Here is a 27,951-nt window from a genome sequence, read left to right as displayed (position 1 = left end):
CATTTTAAAGAACAAGAACATTGTCTACCCATTGGCATGGCCTCTGGTGCAGCAACATAGGCTCCTGTTCCTGCCACAGCTCTCTCCTTCCTTCTCTGCCCATCAGAGCCCAGAGTTGGCCCACCATGGCTTTACTCACTACTGTCACCCAGTTCTTGGGAACAAAGGACGTATCTTGTCTTGTTCTTGCTGCCTGGCATGCCAGTACCTCCTCCAGGAATTTGGAAGACATATCAGCTTACCTCATACCCAAGGAGCAGGCCAGAATTAAGATCTCCAGACAGCAATGTGGCAAGAGGGTGGTGGGCCAAAACACTGTGGGCATGATGTATGGTGGCCTGAGAGGCAAGAAGGGATTGGTATATGAAACATCAGTTCTTGATCCTAATGAAAGCATCCATTTCTGAGGCTTTAGTGTCCCTGAGTGCCAAAAGCTGCCACCCAAGCCTAAGGGTAAGAAAGAAACCCTGCTGGAGGGTTTATTTCAGCTGCTGGTGGCTGAACAGATCCCAACAGAGGAAACAGGCATCTTGGCTTTCAAAAAAGTGGGCAAAGAGGACAGCTCTACCCTCCCACGTGGTCATGATGCTGGACAACTTTCCCACCAATATACATCCCATGTCTCAGCTCAGTGCAGCCTTTACAGCCCTCAACAGTGAAAGTAATACTGCCTGAGCATATGCAGAGGGTATCAAGTACTGGGAGCTGATTTATGAAGACTGTGTGGATCTGATCACAAAGCTACCTGTGTTGCAGCAAAGATCTACCAAAATCTCTACTAAAAGGGCAAAAATGTTGGGGACATTGACTCCAAGCTGCACTGGCCCCACAATTTCACCAACATGTTAGGCTATACTGATGCTTAGTTCACTGAGCTCATGCATCTGTATCAAACCATCCACAGTGACCATGAGGGCAGCAATGTAAGTGCCTATATCAGCAACTTGTTGGGCAGTGCCCCTTCAAGCCCTTATCTGTCCTTTGCAACAGCCATGAATGGATTGACAGGCCCTCTACATGTACTAGCAAATCAGGAAGTGCTTGTCTGGCTAATTTAACTACAGAAGGCAGTTGGCAAAGATGTGGCAGATGAGAAATTATGAGACTACACCTGGAACACACTCAACCCAAGATGAAGTTATTCCAGACTATGGCCATGTAGTGCTAAAGAAGATTGATCCACGAGGTACCTGCTGTGAGAGTTTGCTCTGAAACACCACATAATGACCCCATGTTAACTTGGTTGCTCAACTACACAAGATTGTGCTTAATATCCTCTTAGAGAATGGCAAGGCCAAGAATCCTTGGCCCAATGTAGACACACCCTGGGGTACTGCTCCAGTACTATGGCATGATGGAAATGAATTACTACACTGTTCTGTTCAGAGTGTCTCAGGCATTGGGTGTACTGGCACAGCTCATCTGAAGTCATGCACTAGGATTCCCTCTAGAAAGGCCCAAGTCCAAGACATAGATGGTCTGATAAGTTTGTGGACTCTAAGTTGGGATAAAACTGGAGACTGGGGGAAAAGTGACGACCAGAAAGTGAAGACACTTTAAAAAAAAAGTCTACTTTGGTTTTAAGGGGTCTTTAAAGACTTAAGATTAAATTGTATCTGAGGCACTGATAATAGATTTGAGGTTAAAATGTAAATTAAAAGCTTAAAAGATGAAAAACCTAACCAACTCCCTTCACTTGCCTGGTATGAGTTGCCCATCAACTGCAGAATGACCACAACTAATGCATGTGTAATGGGTTAAGTTTGGCCCCCACACCATCTCAGAGTGAGAATCTGGCTCCTCTTTCCCTGGGTCAAAGCTGGTTGCAGAGAATGTGCAGTCACTTCTGAGATTTTGCTTCTACTCTGCCAAGTGCACAATAAGCCAGCAAGCCAGGACTCTTCCCTTTCTGTTTCCATAGGAATGATGTTAGATAATCAGCTGTACCAAGTCCCTCAGCCCTCTCCTCTGCACACTAACACCTCCTAGCAAGACCTATTGATTAGCTGGACATGCTTTGGCAACTTTTTATGCTACCAGGTGAGCATAAAGGAATGTTTGTTGTAACTGGCACCCAGTGTTTGATGTGATTTCTCTTTTCAAAACCATCCTATTAAAATTAAGGTCTCAGAGTGTTCTGTTTCCCATTATTTTAATACTCACCCCCATTCAGAATTTCTACACCTGTTGCACCTCAAGGTAAGGATGTTTGGGACCTCCCCATCTTGGTCCTCACCAGAGACCTCTTTCAACAGTTCTGTCTGATATGTGGTCCCAGTCATTGGGTTTTTATCAGTGCTTAATGTGAACTAAATATTTTACTTCCACAGAACACAAGCCACTACCCTCTGACCTTCCCCTGCCCTTCTAAGGTACTGTGGGGCATAAACAGGGACTCAGGAATGATAGCATGATAGCTTCAGGGTCTGATCCCAGGAGTATTAGCACCTCTTTTGGAACAAGAAAACGATTCAAGATTGGACATGGTCTCCTCTGATTATTGGGTCCTGGAGTTGAGAGGATTAAAAATAGTAAGTCTTCCTCTTCATCCTCTGCCTCAAGAAAATGCTCCCTTATTTATCAATATCGTTTTCCTGTCCTACCTCAAGCACTCACAGTACAGTGTTTGTCTTAGAAGCCCCATTTGCACAGGTTTTCAGAAACTCAGAATGCTCTGCTGCCTTTTCTTTAAGAAAGGATTAAGATACATTCCTTCTGTGCCCCTTTCTTCCCTCCAAATTCCTGCCTGTGTTTCTGTAGATCTACCATCCCCAGAACTACGCTGTTGAGATGAACACAGTATAAGCCCCTGGTAACTGTCAGGTCATGATGCAGACTTCAGGTTGCCCTGTATAAAATGCGAAGTAAGTGTTTTTAATAACAATGAAAAAAAGAACAATACCAGACACTCCGATCTGGCTTTCCAAGTGGCCATATATATCTGAAATAACTTTCCATTATAGTAGAAGACTGAGAAATTATCCAGATAATACAATCGTTTAGGGCATTAAAAAGAGTTTCTATGTAATACACCTATAAATGTTATGCATGTATGTAATAAATACATACTCACAAAAGGGTTTCTCTGCTACTGAAAAAAGTATTTTCACCTACACAATAATAATTTGCTAGCCTTTCTTAAGCACTACAAGATGCCTGACATTGTTCTAAGTGTTCTACATATGTAGTCTCTTAATCTTAATAGGAGCCATCTTACTTTATCCTATTATTATGTCCACAGAGCACAGAAGACTGAAGCATATGTCCAAGGTCAGCCAGCATTCAATCCCAAGCAGTCTGACTCTGTAGTGTATAGTCTTACCACAACAAAATATAACATCTCATTTGACCTAGTTATATAGGGACTATTATATCCATTTGTCAGATGGGAAAATTGAGGCTCAGTGGGATTATATAATTTTCAAGCTTCCTCTGCTAACATATGATAGATACCATGAGTCAACACTAATCTTTCTGATTCCGAAGTCTGGCTTATAGCCAATTATAAGCTTATAAAACCACTACAGCCTCCTAAATGCAGGACCACTGTGTAAGATGCAAAAGTTATCATGACCCTCAAAAACAATACAAGCAAAAGGGAACAAATTATATTAGTGACCTGACCCACACCATCTCACTGAGGTGGCTCAGCCCTAGACAGGACCAGGATTTTTTCAACACTAATCACAAGACAATGGTCCTAGGCCCAACCTCCCATCTGGCTCAGAACTACTATTGTCAACATGAAAGATGGCCTTTGTTTTCTGGTCTTTACAAATCCTTGTAGCGGTTTCTCTATCTGTCTCCAGGAGTGGTCACAAGGCTAGCCAGAAGGAAATTCAACCCAGAGACCCAAACCTGGATTCAAAACAGAAACTGCTCGAAGGGTTGAGTCAGGAGTTGTGTCCCTACAGAGCTCTTTGATCCTGAGAGAGGAAATCATTGGCACAAAGGAAAAGAAGCAGATTATAGACGAGAGGGCTTTTGTTGCTGAAGGTCTTTTCCTTCTAGATGAGCATTCTGGATTTCAGAGTGGCTGTTTCCTGCTGAGCTTCAATGGGCCGGGCCTCTACCCCTGCACAAAAGAGTATGAGAATTTTGAACTCAAACATAAAAGCAGAGCAGCAGGCCACAGCGTCTACAGCTCAGGCCTGCTGGGAGCTCCAGCCAGTTCAGACACCATATGTGTCCTGCTTATCCATCTGGTTCTTTGGACAAGGCCAAACAAAACAGTGGAAATAAATGGCAGAGTAAAGTCTTTTGCCCTGGCCCTGAAGCACATACTGACCTCACCTTGCAGAGTTTTTCTGTAAATCATTTGGATTATAAGTAGTTTGATTTAAAGTATAGGAGTCCAATCTGTACAAAACTTTAAAAGCAGAGAAAAAAGTTCCAACATTACATCTGATTAGCAGGCTAATCACCTTATATCTATCCCTCCATTTACCAATATTACTTCGTAAGGTAAAACCTGAAATCCAGTGAAACCATAGAAACATGTAGCTTAACCACATGTGAATCCAATCCAAAACAACCACGTTTATACAACCACTACAAAAGCTTCTGCATTATTAAACTATATTTTATGGAGAATTGGACTCACTTATTTAAGCAAAAGTCAACACAGTAAATTTTTATGTAATAAGAAGACTCAGTAATCTCTGAAAGATTATTCTACATCTTAATTGTCTACGTAATTTCAACTTTGATTAACTTTAGCCTATTCATGGAAGCTAATATATCTCTGTGGCTAATACTTTCAATGAACTTAGCTTGTATATATAGTTATGAGTTGCTTAATCACAAGGATACATTCTGAGAAATTTAGGAGAATTCTTTGTTGTGGGATCATGGAGTGTACTTACACAAACCTGTCTGTGGTCCCCAAAATTTTGGGCACCAGGGACTGGTTTCATGGAAGATAATTTTTCCACAAACCTGGAAGGGGAGGAACAGGGATAGTTTGGGGATGAAACTGTTCCACCTCCCTGATTCTCATAAGGAGCAGCAACCTATATACCTCACATGCTCTGTTCACAATAGGGTTTGCGCTCCTATGAGAATCTAATGCTTCTGCTGATCTGACAGGAGGCAGAGCTCAGGCAGTAATGCTTGCTCACTGGCCCACTGACCTCCTGTTTCCTGCTTTGTGGCCTGGCTCCTAACAGGACACAGACCACTACCGGTCTTGGCAGAATGGGGGTGTGGAGGTTGGGGACCCCTACCCTACTACACACCCAGGCTACATGATAGAGCCTATTGTTTCTAGGCTACACACCTGTACAGCATGTTACTCTAGTGAATACTGCAGGCAACTGTAACAATGGTAAGTATTTGTGTATCTAAACATAGAAAAAGTAATGCATCGTGTTATGACTTCATAATGGCATCATCACTAGGGGAGAGGAATTTTTTCAGCTCCATTATAATCTTATGGGACCACTGTTATTTATGTGGTCCATTGTTTACCAAAACGTCATTATGTGGTGCATGACTGTATTTCAGTTACTTTCAATAGACCAAACATTAGCCATGTACTATACCCAGTTTCTCAGTCTCAGCACTATTGACATTTTCGACCAGATAAGTCTGTTGTGGGGGATTATCCTGTGCATTGCAGGACTTTTATCACCACACTTAGTCTCTCACTTAAATGCCACTAGCACTGCCCCACATTTGTGAAAACACCAAATGTCTCTATATATTGTCAGACGTCCCTGAGGAGTGAGTAGTGAGTTGTGAGGAGTGAGTTGAAATCAACCCTGGTTGATTTCAACTCACTGGTTTATAGAGAATAATTTTGAATGCTGATCTACTCCTTCTCATTTATACATAATCATTCAGTAACAGCTAATACTCAATATTAAAAGCACAAGACAATGACTAGACCCATTGGATTTTTAAATCTAAGTTATAAACTTATCTTCTGAACTCATAAAAATAATGTTATAATAGTTTCTGAATATCATGAAAATTCAATCATACACAAAAGTCTATGTATTATATAATGGTGGGGTTTATTCCAGACCCACTGACAAGTCTGTCTTACTTCACTGAAGTTAACCCTCCAAACACAGATGAGGACAGATGACTGGGCACGTGGGAAAGATGGATGGGAAGAAAGAAAAAGCAGCAAGAATGTGGAGTCTTGATAAATAAGCAATAACAAGGAAGGAGACCCAGGTGGCGGAGGTCCCCAGGTGGGGAAGAACAATGAACAATTGTTTTGAGAGATGGCTAACCACAAATAACCTGAGGGCACAAGGACCTCATTCTGAGGGCACAACAACCTTGCATGTAGCCCTCCTCCAGCAGGACCTTAATAAAACTTCCCTCCAGCCCCTGCCTCTTTGCAGGCAGCCTCTTCTCTGCTGTCCTGCCTGTTGCAATCTTGCCACGTATTTTCATACTTTCTCTAATAAATCTGCTTTTCTTTACCTACAACGGTCTTGGTAAATTCCTTTACTGTCTGCACCACTTGCCCCAGATAGTTACTACCCATGACAAAAAAGACTAGAGAGCAGGTTATGAACAGTACTGAAGGTGGCTTAAATCATATGAGTAACGTTCCTTAAGAAAACTGGAAAAATACATTTTCACACAAATGTAAACTATTTTATTAATGTACTTAGTTTGAAAATACTCTTTTCATAATTAAATATAATACATAAAATCCCCACTTAAATGTTCTAAACTTACTATTTTAACTTAGGACCATTTTTTAGTAAACCTCTTTTAATGTTGCTTCACTTAAATCGTTTGTTTCTTTTTCTCCAGATGTTATGCTTCAAGTAATTGCAAAGATGTCATATTAAATTAGCCCCCTGTTTCAAAAGTGAAAACGTCCAGTGAGCAAAGACAAATGTTTATGGCAAATTGGTTAGTAAAATGCTGTCTCATGAGAACTGGACATTAAGCTGGAAACATTTAACATCTCCTTGGTCAATCTCAATTCTTCCTTCAGTCACTAAAAATTATTTTTAGTTTAATCACAACTCATCACACTGTACACATTGAGACTGCTACTTTACTCCTTTAATTAAAAACAAAAACAAGTAAATATATTTTTATTTGGCTTTGCTAAAAGAAACTGGTTTAGTTCTATCACTGTGTATCAGAATTCTACTTCAATCTCAGTGATTATAGTTTCTTGTCATTGAATCAGACTGTAGTGATTCTCAACCATAGATTTCAAAAAAATGCTTATAAATTAATGTAAATAAAGTGCTTAAAATAGTGTCAGAAATAATGCCTTATATAGTAAGAGCTATATAAGTACTTGCTATTATTACTACAGACCCCCTGGGCTCCACTGAAGACTAACTAAATCCAAATCTATGTGATTGCAGTGAGCAATCAGCATTGAGAAACATTGATCATACCATGTGCCAATGAAGCAAATTTAACAGCTTAAATGTCAGAAAACCTGACCAGCATCAATCTATGTACCACTGATTTAAAAAAAAAATCTACCATTTTCTAGGCACTGTGCATGCCAAAGACATTGAAAATGACTAAGACAATCTTTTCCCTCAAGCAAGTAGCAATCAGTTAGATTAAATAGACCATGGCCCAATAAATACAGAGTAATTCTTTAAGGGTAAGAATAGTGATATTAACTAAGGGTGTGGGCCAAAGAAAGCATCAGTCAATTCTACTTGATAAAGTAAGGAAGGCTCCCAAGGAGAGAGAAATTTGAAGTGACCCTGAAAGGATTAATGAAGTTGCATTGGGTGGAAAATGGAGGGAAAGACACAGAAAGAAAGGGAAATCACATAGTGTTTAAGAATTATTAAGTAAAATTTTAAGCAGAAGATGTGATGAGGGTGAAGCTGCATAGATTAGAAGGGCTTGAAAACTGGGCCAAGAAATTGTGATGTTTTTCTGTAGGCAAAGGGGAACCAAAGACACATTTTAAGAAAAGGAGTAATATGATCATATCTGCAACTTATATCTCTCTGTCTTCATGTATCAAGAGCAGCAATAAACACACCCATACAGACTTAGGCCCTCACACGATTGTGCTAGATAGACAGAACCTGGGTTTGAACCTCAGCCCATCTCATTTACATGACAGAGCTCTAGCCTAAAATATAAGAAAGCAAAGCAAGTCGGACGTTCTTAGTTTTGTGGAACTTGAAAATCTAGATCTTCCAGTCATTTAAGAAGAGGATGAACCAAAAAGCCTTCCAAGGACCCTTAACTGTCAACATTGGCTAAAAATTTCTCCTTTCTAAAGGGAAAATAATGAAAACTGTATTCTCCAGAAAATCATAGATCTCTTTATGCTGTGAGGAAAGTTTTAAAGACACAGCAAGCATAATATTGCCAGGAAAAAAATAATCTAGGATATTCTTGGATGTTGTCTCCAGATGTTGAGTTTTAATTCTACCCTGATTTAAACAGTGAACTATTAAAATATGGAAAATATGACTATAATTTATGTTCTTCCATCTAAAGACTCAGGGGATTTCTTATTTTGTTATTAGAAGGGAGCAAAGCTATTGTTTTAAGTATGACAAAAGCCCACATCTGCTCTTGTGCAAGTTACTCCTGGCTGCATCAGGCTTTCTAAGCATTGACTGTGGATGTGCGTGCAGCCGCACCCTCTCCTGGAATTCCTATTGGTCTCCTCCTTGTCCTAAGCTGCTGCTCAGAAGCTCACCGTAAAGGAAACTATGTTGCTGCCATTTGACGTCAAAGCGCATCGATAACTGATTCAGTAATTGGCAACTACTCCTCTATCAATGTGTATGCACATGGAGACTTGGACTGTCAGATAAGGGTAAGTGACTAAATTTTTATCATTGCAATATGCACTGCTAAAGATAAATAGTGTTTACTGGCCCTCTAAAAGAGTAGTCTTGACTTGGAAAAGGAAAATGGTTTCATCTGATCTTAACATGTAAACACTCAGAATAAACCTCAGCAGAAATGCTCACTTTCAGAGTTTTAGACAAGGCTATTCCAAGGCCAGAAATTTATTTCTGCATACAGCAAAGGCCAGTTTCCTGTTTCATGCTCTATATACAGACATCCTCAACAAATAATACCTGATGGAGATCCCTGTCTGTTTCTGAGAAACAAAGTGTTAAGACTGACATGGGTCAGTGAAATCATTTTTTGCTCTAGATCATGCCCAAGAAGAAGAGGATATTAAGTCTCTCTCCCAGGATTTGAAATCTGTCCTGAATCCGTGGCCCAAGCAGATGCTGGTATGCTGCTTGGTATTTGGGGATTTCTTGCTGATGAATATGATATTTGCTTGGCTGCAAAGAGAAACCAGAGAAAAATAAAGAAGTGCTTTTGTTGGTAACATATTGTGGGTTCAGAATGGTGCTTTAGTGACTCACTTGAAAAAAAATGTGGTAGGAAACTAAATTCAACCCCATGACAGAGTGCTATGGCTTTTGTTTAACAATAACTCCAGCCAACTCACTGATGAAGATGCTTTTTATATAGGCTGGTTTTACATGATTCCAAAATATCTAGTAAATTTAATTCTAAAATTTAGCTCAATAATCTGGCTATTTTGCTTGAGAAATGTTAAACCTGAAGTAAACTGCTTTGGACAAATAATATATAAAACAAACATTCTGAGTAACAGATTAATTGATTAATGAATAGTGGCCTGAAATTTTGGGATGCTTTGGTGTTGTATTAGTCTGTTCTCACATTGCTATGAAGAAATACTCAAAACTGGATAATTTATAAAGGAAAGAAGTTTAATTGACTCACAGTTCTGCATTGCTGGGGAGGCCTCGGAAAACTTACAATCATGGCGGAAGGCAAAGAGAAAGCACCTTCTTCACAGGGAAGCAGGACAGAGTGAGTGCAAGCAAGAGAAATGCCAGACGCTTATAAAACCATCAGATCTTATGAGACTCACTCACTATCACGAGAACAGCATGGGGGAAACTACCCCCATGATCTAATTACCTATACCTCATCCTGCCCTTGACACACGAAGATTATGGGGAGTATAAGGATTATAATTCAAGATGAGATTTTGGGTGAGGACACAGCCAAACCATGTCAGGTTTTTTATAAACAGATTTATACAGCTGACTCTTCCTGGAACCCACCACCTTATTATCATCTCTGCTTCTTGGCCTCTAGGTTAGACAATATATTTCTCAACCAGAACAGCCCCATTGTCACTGGAATGGAGGAGGAGCTGGGTAGGAGGGTATAAGTGACCATCTCAGAGCCATGACCTCCCTCACTGAGGCATTCTGTCACTCACTTAGTTTGTTTTTGGTCTTGTTAAAATCGCTTTATTAGAGTCTTCATTATGGTCTGACGTTTTTCTTTATATTAATGCATCTTCCACAGCCACAATTCATGACATCTGCATTTCTATCTGCACACTTACCCACCTCTGTTACCTTCATCTGATAGAGCATTTTATTCCATCTTCATCTTTCAAACATTATTCAGATTTTAAGGTCAAGCTCAAAGCTATTTCTTCTATAAAGAAACGTATGCCTTCCCTCTTGTTTCATGCAATGGTTCCATTAAAACTATATTTATAGTTTTATTATAGCACATTCTGACTGTGTTATGATTCTTTGTGTCCATGTCTGTGCCACCACTAAATTGTTAGCTCCTTGAGCACTGCACTTCTGTTTACTCATAGGGACCCATTCCTCTTCAATTTCATATTTCTATACCAAGCTCAGTTATTCAGCTAGTAGGTAACACATTTTTTAATTTGATGATGCCCACATCCTTCAAATAAATGTATCAGATGACAAAGTGGTGTGGGGGTAGTGGGAAAGAAAGAAGGAAATGAGGGAAAACAAAGAAAGAGACAATGTCAAATTGGAAATTCAACCTGATTTAACATCTAATACATAATTACTCATGTTGGCAAACACCATAAGGAAAAACTCAAACATGATCACTCCACATGTTTTCCTTTAATGTATTTATTCATGCACAAACAATATCAAGGTTTCCTATGATTAAAACATGGATGTTTCTACTTGGCTTCCTTTTGGACACACTGCTTCAGAACAAACCAAGTCTGATTAATAAAGTAAATCTTCTCACTATGCCTTAACAATAACCCCATCCCTTGTTTTAAAACAATAATTTGCTGTCTAAATACTATACTTCCCTCAAGGAAATGAAAGGAGAAGACAGAGCCAGTGCACACTAATATAAAACAGCACCACAAGTTAAAATACAATTCACATCAGCATGGAAATTACTGAGTGGGTGGTTACTGCTACAAAATAAAAGGACATAGTAATCAGAAATGAACTACCTATACCATAGGAGTGAAACTTTTTCATAATGAACCTATAAAAAAGGAGTGAGATTTTTGCATAATACATTTACAGAGGTAGTATTCTACTAAATTCATTTTTTTCCAATAAGATTCAGTATTCTTGGGGAATTGAGGAAGCAGATTTGTTTCGGAGGCCATAACTGATCCACTGGGAATTTTATTTTCAATTTTGGGAATGTTCAGGATTTGTGTTTTACTATCTATGTAGATCGTTGACCCTGCTTTTTTTTTTTTTTTTTTTTCAAATGTATGACACTGGAGGTTTAAAGGTCTTGTTTTTTTAACAGAGATTTAACTGGCCCCACCATTTTGATTTGGTTTGACTATTAAAAATAGAACCTAAAGATTTTACACTATGCATCCCAAATTGTGAACCTTTGTTCTCTGCCAATACTATACTTAAGATTTCTAACACTTAGCAATTTTCTAACATTGTGGTTGAGGTCATCTTTGAAAGACCTACATTTATATTTTCCCCTTGTGATGCAGAATCAATACTTTACTGGCTGAGAAAAAGTGAAACACTCCATTCATGTTAGACTGTTGAGTGAAAATGTAAATGAGCAGGCAGCAAATCTTACATGTTATGCAAACACAGAAGCTAAAAAAAGTATTGCTGATCACTGACTCTCTTGTTGGAAATATTAAATTTGTCCAGGTTTCAGATTTTTTAAGTCTCAACTTTCTGCACTTTTTAAAAGAGGAGTTTCATAAAGAGCATGCATAATTACCAGAAGAAAACCTGTAGTAATCATGCAACACTTCACATAAGAATTTCCATCTAACTTTCCACATGCTTTCTACAAAGCCAAGTCTTTCTTTTCTTCTTCTTCTTCTTTTTTTTTCAGGCCAATAAGACAATCAAATAATATCCACCATATATAGCCATGAAAATACACATGACATAATGGAAAATCAATTGAAACAACACTGCAAAGAGGACTAAAAGTAAAGTGAAATCTCTAGATTTTAGGATTTTCTTGAAAAGTTACCCACAATGTCAAAACATTTAAATTTGATTTAGATGTGGAGAGAATTGGTTGGAATTTATAAAAGAGAGCTTGAAAACTTAATAATGGACATCAGTGTATTTGTTTTTTATAAAGGACAGCAACACTCCTCACAAGACACTTTTGTTCACTTCTGGGGGAGGCTTTCTTGCTGCCTGTCACAGGATGCTACATTCTTAGTGTTTCCTTTCAGAACAGAAATTCTCAAATATAAGCAAGCCTCCAAGTCCCCTGGCAGGCTGGGTTCCAGCTGCAGATTTCTGATTCAGTAGGTCTGGAGCTGGTTCTGGAAATTGCATGTCTAACAAGACTCCAGGATTACTGAGCTGCTGGCCTGGGGACTGCACTTTGGACTTCTCTGGTTTAAAGAGGGAGCAGAGTGGAGAAGCTTGGAAGCATGAGGGAGAAGGAGGACAGGAGCCAGGAGAGAGATCTGTGGAAAGGTGCTGAGCCTGTGAGGCTGTAGAAACAAAGGGCTGCCTCCATAGCTAATCTATGGAGAGTATGGTCTTGAAAATACTCCATGCAGTCAGATTGAACCAAGAGATATGAGAACGAAGGAGCCTACAGGATAAGAAAAAAGTGCCAGAAAAATTTAAAAGGGAAAGATAGGTCACATACCAAGCCCTTTAAAAGATGACAACTGAGACATATAGATTACAAGGAAAAACCATCCTGCATCTCAAAATATGATCATTTTCCAGTCCTCCCATCCTCTACCCTAATGGAAAGTGGTAGAAGCTTCCCCTACAAGCTAGCAAAACAGGTGTGAATTTCATTCCACTGACTGTAGTGTACAGGAAGCACCATTCTCCCGATTATTCAGTACTTAACTTTATTGCTGAATCCAAGCGCTATCCCAGCTGGGAAAATGCAACCTCAGTTATTTGAGAAGTCTCCGCTCTCCCCCAGGGTTGGGATATGGCTCAGAAATCTTAGACTAGTCCCAGACACAGTGTGGAGTTCAATGTTCTGTGTTCATCAAGTGTCAATCCTCAACCCATATGAGTCATCCTCGGTATGTCCGTGGGCTCTGTCCCTATCAGCTGCTTCCTCACACTGTTACTATGAGACTTTCTTATGAAGCATCTATGGCTCAGTCTGACTAAACGCACTGCAGAGCAACTCCCTGCTAGATTCTTCTGGGTTCTCCATCCCAGGAAGCAGAGTTGCCACTGCTCGAGCGCTCACAGACTATTTGCTCCTCTCCCCCTACAGGCTGGAGGGGAATCCCATTTCAGTTTGTGACTGGGGTCGCCCAAACTCCCCGGCTTGTACATGTAATTCTCTGGGACTTAAAAATGTTTTTCTCACTTTTACTTATTTCATAGTTCTCCAATTTTTAGGATTTAGGCCCAAATCCTAAGAGTCTGACACTTACAGGAGACATAGGAACAGAATAAATAGGAGAAGCAAGACAGTTGTAATAGAATAAAGACTGATAGAGAGTGCTGTACACTGGGAAGGGAAAGAACCTCAAAAAGCATTAATATTAAAAATTTTTTAACTGTGGAGGCCAAACAACACACTTATTTGGGTCAATGGTACAGCAGGCTTCGCATTTGTGAGCATAGTTGAGGTTAATGGAAAACAAAGATGTTTTATGCTTTCCTCTTGGCTATTCATCAGGAATTGAGTATAGTGCATGCTCTGTTTTCATGAAGACAAGAATTGTTTTGCTAGTCTTCTTCACTGTTGTATCCTTAGCAGGTAAAACAGTGCTTGGCACACTATAGATGCACTCAGTAAATATCTGCTGAATGGCTGAATGAATAAATAACTGAATACATAACAGAAACAAGTACATTATTGTCTTAAAATATTATCCAGCCCTACTATCTTTAGTCTGTGCAAATCACACTGATGATTAAATGCCACATTGTATAGAAGAGTAAATGGCACACTGACCAAATATAAAGCTCTCACAAGTCTATATATATATCCATAAGGGCCCAGCCCTCTTCCTTGCTGATATGGTTTGACTCTGTGTCCCCACCCAAATCTCATGTCGAATTGTAATCCCTAGTATCGGGTCAGGGACCTAGTGGGAGGTGATTGAATCGTGGGGGAGGACTTGCCCCTTGCTGTTCTCATAATAGAGTTCTCAAGAGATCTGGTTGTTCAAAAGTGTGTGGCACCTTCCCCTTTATTCTTTCTCTTCCACCTGTTTCAGCCATGTAGCACGTGCCAGCCTCTCCTTTGCCTTCCACCATGATTGTAAGTTTCCTGAGGCCTCCCAGCCATGCTTCCTGTATAGCCTGTGGAAACGTGAGCCAATTAAACCTCTTTTCTTTATAAATTACTCAGCCTCAGGTAGTTCTTTACTACAGTGTGTGAATTGACTAATACACTTGCTCTACCCTCCATACCACTCCCTGGACACAGCAGTAAAATTGTAACTTCCTGATAAAATGTTGAATGTACTGGACTGAGGCTAAATTAGACAAATATGTTTACATCTGAGTATAGCCTATGTGGTGGCTAAAATAAAACAGAAGCTTAGGGTATTATTACAGATTTCAGTGGTTTCAAAGAAAGTCAAGAAATAGCCTGAGGAACCCAAGCTTAGAAGCTGAAAACTTGATCTGAACTAATTTGTGCTGTGCTTCTTTCATTCACTAAAAAGCTGTCTAACTCCCTTGGGAAAAATTATCACTGTATTTCTACCACCTATTCGCCTGTCTTCTACAGTCAGGCTCAGGAGTTCATGGCTTTCTGCCTGCAGCTTCCTCTTTTATCTGAGGCTATTCTATGAGGTCCCAAACCACTGGAAAGAAAGAAAACTAATCTTCTCTGATCTGCATGGTTGCTTCCACCCGTGAATTGCTTCCCTTGGTGAAGCATTAAGCATTAAGCCAGGAGCACACGAGCTCTGATAAAACACTCTGGTGGAAGAGAGATTTGCTATTGCAGCTGTTCATTATTTGTGAACTTCTCCAGTGTTTGTCCTATTAATATTGTCCAGTTCCAGGAACATTTTGGTAAGAGGAAAGAGTATTTTGAAGTCCATGTGTCCTTAAGCACGAATAGTCACTGCTCATTCCTACTTTGTAGCAAGGATCATCTCCAACTATTTGGGCCTCATGGCCTCCATTTCCATTTAGTGCACTTTGTAACCTTCCTTCTCATGTACCCACTAATCCAGGACTTTTTATCATTTGTACTGCTGCTGTTGGGAGACAATATACAAGAGGTGTGACTTGCAGCATAGTGTGATAGAAAGAGCATGAGATGTGAGGTTAGGAGACCTGGGTTGGACTTACATTTCTACCCGTTACTCACACGGATTTGTTTAATTGCCAACCTTCTAAAATACATGCCTTAGTGAAAATTGAAAAAATATAGCAGGATGGCTGTGAGGTGCACATGAGATAAAAATAAAAATATGAGAAGGAACTTTGTAAGAAGAACAATAAAAATGCTAGTCATTGCTGTTGATAGTATTAACACTATTAGTAGGAACAGAGTGGGAGGCAAGAAGGAAGATGGTGAGTGGGAAATTAAGTGTGCTAGTAACAGAAAAGACAAAAGTGGGAGTCCCAGGACTCTTTGATACATGGTAGTTGGTTGGGGGAGGATGTGGCATCAGGGAACAAGGGCTGACTAATCCTCATATGAGTAATCTGCTAGGTATTGCCCCAAAAGAAGAGAATGAACAACTTGGCCTGCAAAAGGGAGGGTGTGGAAAGGTGAGGCATGCAATTTGAGACTTTAACAGTTTGTGGTCTCTTTTCAACATAGCAGTCACCCTAACATTGCTGGAGGAGGAGGAAGAAATTTGAACATAATATAAGGAATATAATAAGTAAGCCTGAGATAAAATGATGACTGAGATCATGCTGGTCCTTCCTGTAGTTTATGGTTAATAACATAAAGTACTTTTTAATCCCTTCTGCTGTCAGCCCCAACTCACTAAGACCTAGGTTATGACAAAGATAGCCAGTTGCCTACAGAAAGACCTGTTCTCTCCCATCCTTCTCAGTACCCTTATTTTTCCCTGGGTATATTGCCACCCAAAACAAAAGGCTACATACCCAGACACTCTTACACTTGGGTGTAGGGAGAGGGCTAATTTCTGTTCATGACATATAGTGAAAATGTTTGTCAGACTTTAAGTAGGTCCCTCGGAACTGACTCAACTGGGAGTGTTTCTTTCATGGCCTTCTGCCATTCTTCCTTTCTCTGGCCAGCTACATGGACATGATATCTGGGCATCCAATCCTCTACCACCACTGTGCTGTTTCTTATATCAGACATAGTTGAGGTCCCATCAATCAATCTACATTTGCTCAGACACCATCCCCAGAAAACAATGATGTGTTATTACGCTCTTCTTTTCTGGGGATGGTGTTTGAGCAAATGTAGACTGATTGCTGGGAGCTCAACTATGTGTGATCATAATGACCATCACACCACTCCAAGCAAAACCAAGGCAAAGGGAAAAAGATCCTTGATGGCAGTATGTATCTTACAAAATAGAGCTTTTCCAAAAAGATTCAGGTTGTGAGGATAAGAGAAGATAGAATCTACAGAAGATAATTACCCTAGTTAGGTGAAGGCTTTCTACAGTCTAGAGATTAAGATGTGTACCAGGTCCAACAGCCTTATAGTCTTATAAAGCAATGCATGAGATAAGAAAGAAATAGACCTTTGAGTCTGTGATGCTTAATATTGAGTGTCAACTTGATTGGATTGAAGGATGCGAAGTATTGTTCCTGGGTGTGTCAGCGAGGGTATGTCCAAAGGAGATTAACATTTGTGTCAGTGGACTGGGAGAGGCATGCCCACCCTCAATCTGGGTGGGCACCATCTAATCAGCTGCCAGAGTGGCTAGAATAAAACAGGCAGAAGAAGGTGGTAGAAGCTGACTTGCTAAGTCTTCCAGACTTCATCTTTCTCCCGTGCTGGACGCCTCCTGCCCTTGAACATCAGCCTCCAAATTCTTCAGCTTTTGGACTCTTGAACTTACACCAGTGGTTTTCCGGGGCTCTCTGGCCTTTGGCCATATACTGAAGGCTGCACCATTGGCTTCCCTGCTTTTGAGGTTTTAAGGATTTGGACTGGCTTCCTTGCTCCTCAACTTGCAGACAGCCTATTATGGGACTTCACTTCCTGACTGTGTAGGTCAATTCTCCTTAATAAACTCCCCTTCATATATACATCTACCCTATTAGTTCTGACACTCTAGAGAACCCTTATTAATACAGAGTCTGAAGACAGGAAAGAAAAGTTCACCTCTGACAACTACTTACTATAATGCACAGAAAAATATCTGAAAAATTAACCAAATTGTTTTTCTTTCTTTGCTGGGTTTTTTGTTGTTGTGGGGGTTTTTTGTGTTAGTTTTATTGTTGTTGCTACTGTTGTTGTTTTTGTTCTTGTTGTGATACTATTGTTTTTCTGACATCACCCAAAAGATACAAAAAAGGTAGTCTCTGACACAGGAGCAGAAAGCTATAAAAAGTGCAAAAGTTAAGCTGTAAAAACTTTAGAATGAGATTTAAAATAAACATAATATGAGAGTTTCAAAAAACTTTAAAACAGTAGGGTTCACAAAACTTTAAAAATAGTAGAAAACTGTCAGGCACATTGATAGTGGCAAATAGTAAAATATATGTTGGAAATTGAAAATAATGATATAATAATAATATAATAACACATTTAAGAAGCACTCTTAATATGTAGAATATGAGGAAAAAAGAGGAAAATGATGGAGGAAAGAGAATTGATATGGCAGACAGAGACTATGGAACCAACATTCAAATAATTGTTACTCAGAGAAAAAGTAAATAAATTGGACAAAAACAATAATCAAAGATATTACAAAAGAAAAGTTTCCTGAATTTTAAAAAAGGGCCATCAAGAAGAGAAATAATGATATATCATACCTATTTTTATTTAAAAAAAAGCAAGTATAAAAGTCTAGATACAAAATGTATATACGTAATACACACAAGCACAAAAATGATACTTGCCTCAAATTTCCCCTCTAAAATACAAAAAGCTAAAAAACTATGGTGAAAATGTAGTTTTCTAAAGGCTATAAAGATATAATCAAATACAACATTTACCCAGCTAAAAATATGGGGAAAAGTATTCTGATATGCACTTATGGAAATCAAATAATAAAAAAGAAAATTACTATAAAGGAAATATGTAATTACTGTGATGGAAATAAGATTACTACAGTGGAAAAATGGAAAAATCTAGGTTAAATATAAGATTATCTAAGACATTATCAAAATTATTTCAAGGAGCAAAAATATGCTAAGAACCATGAAAAATAATGAAACAGTTATCAAAATGTACCTCTGATATAACCACTGAGACCAGTAAATTCAATATAAAATTTAATAAATAAGTATCATGCTGTTTAAATATTTTCAGAATACATAAAATTATTTCAACTTCCCACATCTTTATATAAAACTAGCATAACTCTGGTGGCAAAATTGTTATAAATAGTTCAAATAGAAATTATAATATAATGTGTTATAAACATACTTATATAAATCTAAATGATATAAAATATTAAAGTGGTTACACAAGTCTAAATAAATGATATAAAAACTATTTCAAGATAGATTGTTTTAAATTTTTAAACAATTTAACCAAAGCAGTATATATCCACAGTAGAAAAAAATTTTAAACAAATAAACACATATCTGCCTGTCTCATAAAAAAAAGATAAAACGAAAAACAAATGGAAAGATAGTTTAGACTTCCAAGGTGAGACAGTAGAGATAAGCCTGAGAAGAGAATGTTCCTACCCCAACACTTGATGAAAGGAACAAGAAACACAAAACACAAATTTTGAAAAGAAGTGCCAAACAAATGAATAAAAATTGCTTTTTTGGTTCAGGAAGTTTTTAAACTAATCTGCATCTTTCAGAAGAAATGATAGGAAAAGTAGATGATTAATCAACACCTCAAAAGTCTTAATGGTATTCCTAAAAATGAGGAGAAGCTGAAGAAGTAGGCTGTTGGAGAAAGAGTCAGGAAAACAGCTATGCAAGCACCCCTACCAAAGGTACTCAATAGAGGAAGAGAAAAAATTTCAGTGAGTGTCATTCTACGCTCTACTAGCAAGGGAGGGGAAAAGAGAGGGTTCTAAAAAACACCAGCAGTAAGTTGCAGACATGAAAACAAAAGAGTAGATAAATAGGAACAAACAAACAAAAAACCTGTGAGCACCAAAAGCTGACAAATTAAACAGAAGGTGATGTCACCTCTACCCCAATTAACTGTAATGGGGGTAAACCCCATAGGAATCATTATCTTTTCCTGTTCTGACTGGGAACTAAGGTGTATACACAAAAGGCTGCTGGAAGAATGTGTAAGTAAAACAAGGAAAATGAATAACCTAAACAAACTCTCCTTGCTGGAAGCATACGCTTCAGGGCATCACGCACAAATCAGAAGATTGAACTGAAGTGAGTAGGAAGAGAACACATTCCTAGTTTGATGGAGTTGATTGTAATACAGAAAATTTACTCAACTTGAAGAAAAAGCAGAGCCTAAGCTTTCTGCCTTCTCCACTGTCATGACTTGAGGCTAGAGAAAAATTGAGTAATAGCAATACTCAGGCGTCAGAGTACAGCTCTGAGAGAGGACAAACTGGAGAGACATAGTGGCAAAAGTATCCTACAGAATTCACTCAGACACACTTACAGAGCGAAGAGAGAGTTTGGGAGCTGCCCCCAGTAAGCATGAGCCAGACTAAAAGAAATGGCATTGCAGTTATGCATAACTGCAACAAAAATGCAGAGAGGAAAACTGACATGGCATACAAAAGAGACAGCAAAATTCTAGATGGAAAGAAACTGTATTTAAGAGCAGAATAAACTCCTCGAACTTGCTTCACAGTGTGCAAAACTTAGAATAGGAAGCCAAAAATATGAAAGCTCATAAAACAACAGGAGTAGATATAAAGGAAGATGACAGAGATAAATTGAGAGTCCAACAACATCATTAGAACCATTACATGTCTATTTGATAAATTAGAAATAGCAAGAAAAAAGACAAGCTGAATGTCATATTAATGGGATTGAGGAAAGGCCTGAGATAATATTAACAAATTAGAACTAAGCTTATAGAGGGCAAAGTAACAGGATATTTTATGTCCTTATCATTGTAACCCAAGAAAATGAAACAAGAAATAAAAATATTAAAAAGAAAAATCTCTGAAATTAAAGAGAAGCACAGTAGAGGACAGACCTTGTCACCTAGGAAAAAAATATATACAGAAGCATCAACACTGCAGACTATCTGATTAAGTTATTAAGATTCAAGGACAAGGAAATATTTTTTTCAGCCATCCAGACAGAAAGAACAAGTCAAATAAAAGGGAGGAAACCAGGTTGGTTGCTGATCTCCCCACAGCAAGAAATTAACCCAGAAAATCGTAGAACAAATATATAGAATATGTAGAAAGTAGAAAAGTTCCTCTTCAAAGCTCGTCTTGGTTTAAAAATAAAATAATAGACACTAGAAATAATAGCTTCTTACTCTAAAGCCTCCTATCAACTATTAGTTCTTACACTTTAGCCCAGTTAGTTGCTTTGCCTCACTCAGACATGTCTGGACAGGCCCAGGCAAGTCCTGGCTCATAGCTTATGTCCCTTCCTTTTTTGGAAATGTTATTGCTTCCTTAAACCTTTCATAAGCAACTTCCTCTCCTTCCTTGTTCTCCCTTGCACTTACCTATTTAGGAAAGTTTTAGGTTATTAGAAAATTGGGTATCAGCTTAAGACTGTGAGGTCCAGCTCCAGCCAATGGATGCAGGACACAGCAATGAGGATGACCCAAATGTGTAAGGGATACACATTTGGGTCCCTTTGTTGAAGTGTGCTCTTGCCATTGTTCAATCTGCAAGGAGCACCCTTTCTGCAGAAAGTAAAAATGGCCTTGCTGAGAGATCCTTTGTCTCCCTGCTGACTTTTCTTAACAGCACCAATTATCTATTTCTAACAGAATATCCTGAAGAAAAAAAAAATTTTCAAGATATATTGTAGCCAGACATGTTAGTTTAGGAATAAGGGCAACACTCAGACATTCTGAAATATAAGAGAACTTAGGAAACATTATGCATGAGAACTTCCTGAGGAAAAAAAATGCAAATAAAGCCCACCAAGAAATGACTGGAAAAGCCACAGCAAAATGACTAGTCCAGTACTCAGTGCCATGAAATGATAGTGCAATGTCAAAAAAATTCTGAGCTTGGAGTTGCCAACTCTAATGCCTATAAGGATGAGACAAGATATAAAAGTTATTGAAACAGATTGGATTCAGTGAAGTGGAGAGCATACATGTGCTATCAAAACAAGGTAGCCACAGCCAATTTTCTGTTGAGAAAATGAAAAATGTAGTTAACAGGATGTCATATTACTACATCATTGATTTTTTCAAGAAAATTCAGAAATCCAAACTTTTGTATTAATTCTCCCAACTTTTGAATTCCAGCAACAAAATTAACGTTATCCAATTTTATTGGGAAAAAATTTCTCTGTTGGCTGGAGAAACTGGTAAGTAACCAGTTTGTCACCTGTGGAAAATAAAATAAGACCCGAAAATGGTGCTCCCAGTCAGTCTAACTCGGAGAGAGACAGTAGACCCATAGCCACCAATGTGAAATAATTCAAAAGATAGCAGTACTTATGGACCTGCCTTGAAAATTCTACTTGATGATAGAAAGTGGGCAATACATGAAATGGAGAAACTATGATAAGACTGTTGGTGAGCACTAAATCAATCCAAATATAGAACTAAACTTAAATGACTATAGGAATTATACTTACTGCAAAATAATATAAATATTGACGGTGTAAAAGCAATATATATATACACATATATATATGACTAACAGGTGGTAGGAAGAAGTGTAAGCATACAAGACTAATATATAATTTTTAGAAAGATATTCCCACATCCTAATGTTTACACAATCATTTTTTCTTAACCCTTGAAAGAAACTCAAAGGTTAAGGGATTATAATATATTTTGGTAAAGAACCTGTTATGGGCTGAATTGTGTATCCTTCCCCTCCTCCTAATCTCAGAATGTGACTGTTTTGATGGTAGGGTCTTTAAATAAGCAATTAAGTTACAATGGAGTCATTAGGGTAGGCCCCAGTACAGTATGACTGGTGTCCTTATAAAAGGAGAAGATTAGGGCACATACAACACAGATGACCACGTGAGAACACAACAAGAAGGCAGCCATCTGCAAACCAAAGACAGAGGCCTCAGGAGAAACCAAAACTGCCAACACTTTGAGCTTAGACTTCCAGCCTCCAGAACTGTGGGAAAGTAAATTAAATTTCTGTTGTTTAAGCCACCCAGTCCATGGATTTTTTCCTGGAAGTCCTAATGCAGAACCACAGTCTGATGTTGAGCAATCCATTCAATTTTACTTAATTTATCATCATTTCTTAAATGCAAAGAACAAATAAAATTAAATAGCATATAGAATATGATCAAAATTTTAAAGGTATTTCTACTCTCTTACTCTATTCCTGATACTATTACAGAACACTTCAGACTGAGTGATTTATAAACAAATTCATTGTTCCACAGTTGTGGAGGCTGGGAAGTCCAAGATCAAGCCACCAGCAAATTCAGTATCTGGTGAAGGTTCAGGCTCTGCTTCCAAGGCAGCACCTTGAACAAGGGGCCAAAAGCTTTGTCTTCACATGGTAAAAGGGATGGAAGGTGATAGGTGGCTCCCTCAAGCCTCTTTTATAAGGGCATTAATTCCATCCATGAGGCTCCACATAATCACCTCCCAGGGCCTCACCTCTTAATAATACAGCCTTGGAGATTAAGTTCCAATGTATGAATTTTGGAGGGACATATACAATATAGCCATAGTATCTGCTAATATATCTTTCTAATTATATGTTTACTATACAGAAGAGATATATGGAATGATGTTAACTTATTGTTAGCAATGTTCACTTCTGGGTTGAGATATTAGAAGAACTTCTCATATTGAGTATATGCAATTTTTAGCAAAAAATCTATAACATCAGTTTTTCTAAAAAAAATATGAAAACATAATATAATCTTTATCTGGAGAAACCTCATGCTGTAGTTATAGCACAGATCTTTCCAAGTGTACGTATACACATGCATACACACACACACAGACCCACTTATTCACACACAAATGTGTTCACAGACCTCAAACACTTACATACACACATACAAATGTGCTTTTAATGAGTTCATTCAAGATTTACTACTATTTTACCAAATAATGTAAACATATTAGGAAATATAGCTTTATAACATCATTTTGTCTGCTTATTCTCCATTGGGGATATGTGCCTTAATTTATTTAAGTAATATCTAGTTTGGGACATTCAAGTTGTTTATAAATCTTTGCTTTCATATACACTTCTGCAATAAACAAACATTCTTGTAGCTACATCCCTGCCTACATTATATTTAGGAGCTAGTTCAGCAGAATATTAAACAAATAAAAAACTATGGCCAAAAAAGATTAAGAAATGTAATAATGACTCAATATGAATAAATATATAGTTTATCATATAAGAGATTTAAAGAATAATCAGATTACAATTATATAAGGTAAAAAAGCTTTGGTCAAGCTTAATATCCAAATGCCCTTAACCAAAAGAATAATCTTTTCCTGGAATAATATCTCTTAACTGAGTAACTATTACAATTAACAAGTGAAAATAACTAATAAGTAACTACTAAGTAAATACACAAAATTAATAATTTTTTATATGTCCTCAATGATGATATAAAAAATTCAAGAGAAAAAAGATGTTTTTCACAATAGCAACAAAATATAAAATAGCCAGAAAATTTTAATATGAATGTTTAAAACATAAATAAAACTATTAAACTTCCCTGAGAGATGTAAAGATTACTTAAGTCATAAAAAATGTAGTATGATGCCCAATAGCAAAACTCAATGTAGCAAAAATAAAAATTATCCCAAATAAATGTATACAATGGGGTTATTTTGGAACCTAAGTAATATCAGTCACTTTGTAGAATGTGATTAAACAATAATTCTTATATACCGCTGGTACAAGTGTACATAGAAATAATCTTTTTGGAAGATGATAGTGAAATTTATATCAAAAGGCCTTTTTAAATGTCCACGTCTTTGCCCATCAATGATGGATAAATTTATATGTATGAAGAAAGATTTATTCAAAAAGCCTACTATTGCATAGAATGCAAAAATAAGCATTTCACAGTAGCTATGCTCAAAAAGATCAATACTAGAAAAAGAGGTATATAAATAGTTAATTGATGTATATACGTATGTGTGTATGTATAGTCACACACTTAAGTATTATAAAGAAAGCAGTGTAAGTTAATTTCCTCTGTAAGACAGGTGCAAACAACATACTACGAAAGTCTTTATGGAGAAAAAAGACCACATCATTAGAGAAAAGGGTGGGTCTGGGGGTAGAGAAGTGGATTTACTGTGAAGCTAATGAAACCAAAACCTCAGGGTTCCTCACACACACACAGGATCCCTCCAAGGCCCTGGCAGGGGGGATTAACAGTGTGTTCACATAGTCATATTTTTTAATAAAATTTGCAAACATGGCATATTTTAACCTCAATTAGTAGGCCTTCTACCTCTTTCTGCTTAGTTTCCCCGCTGGCTAACTTCCCCTCCTCATGGTAGTGGCCATGAGTATTTGTGGTTCAGTTCAGTTAAGAAGTTGGGGGTGCATTTATTGGGCTTACTAGGCTATATTTATGTGATTCACAGTCACTTCTACATATTGTTCAGAATACTGCTCTCCTTCATAGCATAGAAATGGCTCCCCTAAATACTCCTCTCATCCATTGTGCCAAGTCAATTATGATTCTGACACAAACGTGCAGGCTTATAGGATATAAGCATTCCCATGTCACACAACACAGGAATTATGTGAGTCATATAGGGAGAAGAAAGGCTTGAAATGTATAGACTCAGTCTGCAGTCAAAGATTATACCCAGTTCACTAAGGAGCAGAAATTCAAACCAAACACACAAACACACACACACACACACACACACACACACACTTAACTAGTTATAGAATTATGAAGAGTCTCTCACTTATGGTTTCTGGTTTTGCTTTTTCTTTTTAATCCAGGCAGAACGCCAACAACCAAGGCAAGAAGAATGTGAAAAAGGATTCAGTATGTTCAAGAACCCCAAGCCTGGTAACTTCCTTAGTGTACACCATTATTTACATAAACATCAATAAATTCAGAAGATTAAAGATTTGAAGCAATAGTAAAAATGACCATTGTTAAATATGCCTATTAAATTAAAAATAGTTATAACATTATTGAAGTTTTTACCTAAAAACATAACAGGAAGTCATTCTAGAACTTTCTAACATAGATACCATTGTAAAGTTCAGACATAAGATCGCTGCTTTAAATTTTCACTGAAAACTCAATACGTGAAAGCTGGTTGCAATCACTTTAATGTTTTCCAGGATTAAAAAATAATTACTAGTACAAAAAAAAACTACATGTGCTTATAAAGTGTCAACATTTAATATTTCTTAATTATTTAAGACATCAGTAGCAAGTAGGATTATGCAATGCCAGGATATAAATGGCTCAGCTACTCTTTGGTGTATTTTAAACCTATCTCCCATTGTTTGATTAAAAGACATGTTATTATCTAAAAGTCACATGTAGAGGTCTTAAATCATTGTATCTACAACATCAAAGAATAAGATGTTTATTACTGAAGAAGTCATTTAATTGTATACATCCCAAGACATGAAGTTTCCAGCTAGAGTTGTCTAGTCCATCACACTGCTTCAAAGAGCACAGAAGCTCAATATCTAATTGGGAATGGAGGAGGATGAACAGCAATGTGTTTGGCTAGATGCCACATCAGGAAGCTAGTGTAGTTTTGAAGTTACCTATATCCTTCAAACAACATTCACTAAATAGTAACTGAGCATCTACTATATCCCAAAGACTGAAATAAGCTGAAACTAAATATATATATGGGGAATGTAAATTTTCAGTTAGTTGGGACTGGCTCTGTCACTTACAATCCTAGTGGCCTCAGATAATTTAGCTTCTTGGGGACCTGATTTGCACTTCATAAACACTGTTAATAATACCTACTAAGGAGTGTTGTTGTAAGGGTGAAATTATTGATATAAGTATTATCAAAACAAACCCTCAAAAATGGTTTCATCTATTTAAAAACTGTGCTTGACCATGAGCCCAACAAGAATCAGACTCAGCATTACATTTGAGTGCCCCCGTGATTTCTCCAGAACAACACACTGAGTAAGACCCACACTAAAATTGTTTTCAGAATCGGAGATGAGAAAGTGACCACATCAAAATGGAGAGAAAAGTAAAAGGTGAGTGAGAGAGAGAAAGGCCAGACATTTTCTTGTGTTCTATCCTGTGCCATTTCAGAGCAGAATACTATGCCTCTAACTGTAGATTATTCTCATCTGTAAAATCTGGAAGGAGAAATGGCAGCCACCTTTCAAAGTCTATTCACATGCTGTGGTAAAATATATGTATCTCTGTGGGACTGACTGCAGCCTTTATTAATGTGCTCAGATTTCTCCTCGGAGTAAATGTTTATTAATACATAAAAACCTGTTGAAAGCTCGTAATTATCCACATATATTGCTCACACTTTGTAGACCATTCACAGAATATTCAGGCTGGATTTGCTCCAGCAACTTACCACATATATGGCTAACCAACAACTGGTGTGTTCTCAAGATGCCCAGATTTCAACATCAGCATAAGGCAAAACAAGCTAAAATGAGTTTTACAAAATCAAAGAAAAATTATTTGAGAATTATCCATTGATTGTATTTATCTATGCCGGTAAACTCTTCCCTTATTTGGACAATTAAGAGTTGTCATTGTTTTGCTTTGTTTTTTCTCTCTAATGTCGAATGCAGATAACAAAACTTACTTCAAAAACTGAAATTTAGAGATGGCCTATTTGGTTTTCTGATACCCTAATAGAGTTCTTTTCCCTTTTGGACCTCTTCAGATTGTATGTAAATATGTGTGTGCAAATGCCTGTCGGTAGGTGAGCCTATATAACATTTCAAAAGCTTTTCTTAGTCTCTAAGTTCATTAGTTTAAAAATAATTAAAAACTACTACTTATTATTTATCCCAAGGTTTTAGTGCCTTCTTTTTTGGTACTTGATTTCCAGGATGAATGTAATGAAGTTTTTCATTTTGTTTTACTAGTTGTCCTCTAAGCCTATTGTATTTTCAAAACTTAATTTTAGAGAATATACAACAACAAAAATATCACTTAAATCAGACTCTTGCAGAAAGGATTTCCTGGCTACAGAAGAAATAAATGTAAATTTTGCTGTAAAACCTTGCTATCCTTGAGAAATCACTCGAGTTTGAAGCATGCAAATTCATGCATCTAGTTCATAGAACCAGTGGCCCTCAAACTTTTGTTTAAGGAGCGAAAGTTTACTATCTGAATAGCACAAATTTGCAATAACTACAGAGCATTCAGAGAAGTTGGTACCATTTCTAACCAAATATAATTAGAGGACACACCTGAAGTGATGGTGAAAATATCTTCACTTTTCTTTGAGTAAATTTTAGAGCTGGAAGGCTAGAAAGTACATAAATTAGAC

At 37.6% G+C, this 27,951-nt stretch overlaps 2 long non-coding RNA genes and 1 pseudogene across 2 annotated transcripts in view, besides 2 other annotated features; 2 read left to right on the top strand and 1 right to left on the bottom strand.

Moving 5' to 3' along the window:
- The window catches only part of LOC112267962 (uncharacterized), a 162,505-nt gene that overhangs the window by 90,166 nt on the left and 44,388 nt on the right, over positions 1-27,951 (bottom strand). The window lies entirely within an intron of this gene.
- On the top strand, positions 17-1,708 carry LOC648934 (citrate synthase, mitochondrial-like; annotated as a pseudogene).
- Positions 8,266-9,465: an enhancer, noted in NCBI's record as "BRD4-independent group 4 enhancer chr6:81257567-81258766 (GRCh37/hg19 assembly coordinates)". NCBI's record gives its function as "activates an origin of replication core promoter dependent on BRD2, P300/CBP, MED14 and CDK7 cofactors, and independent of BRD4, by STARR-seq in HCT116 cells {active_cell/tissue: HCT116}" and the evidence as "EXISTENCE:reporter gene assay evidence [ECO:0000049][PMID:35650434]".
- Positions 8,638-27,475, top strand: LOC105377869 (uncharacterized). Its single transcript, XR_942720.3, has 3 exons — positions 8,638-8,785; positions 25,439-25,508; positions 26,635-27,475. It is a non-coding gene; the product is annotated as an uncharacterized LOC105377869 (long non-coding RNA).
- Positions 20,232-21,431: an enhancer, noted in NCBI's record as "MED14-independent group 3 enhancer chr6:81245601-81246800 (GRCh37/hg19 assembly coordinates)". NCBI's record gives its function as "activates an origin of replication core promoter dependent on BRD2, BRD4, P300/CBP and CDK7 cofactors, and independent of MED14, by STARR-seq in HCT116 cells {active_cell/tissue: HCT116}" and the evidence as "EXISTENCE:reporter gene assay evidence [ECO:0000049][PMID:35650434]".

Source organism: Homo sapiens, chromosome 6, assembly GCF_000001405.40.
Source record: "Homo sapiens chromosome 6, GRCh38.p14 Primary Assembly".
Lineage (NCBI taxonomy): Eukaryota > Metazoa > Chordata > Mammalia > Primates > Hominidae > Homo > Homo sapiens.
Note: the sequence above shows the minus strand (reverse complement) of the source record. Positions and strands in the feature narration are given on the sequence as shown.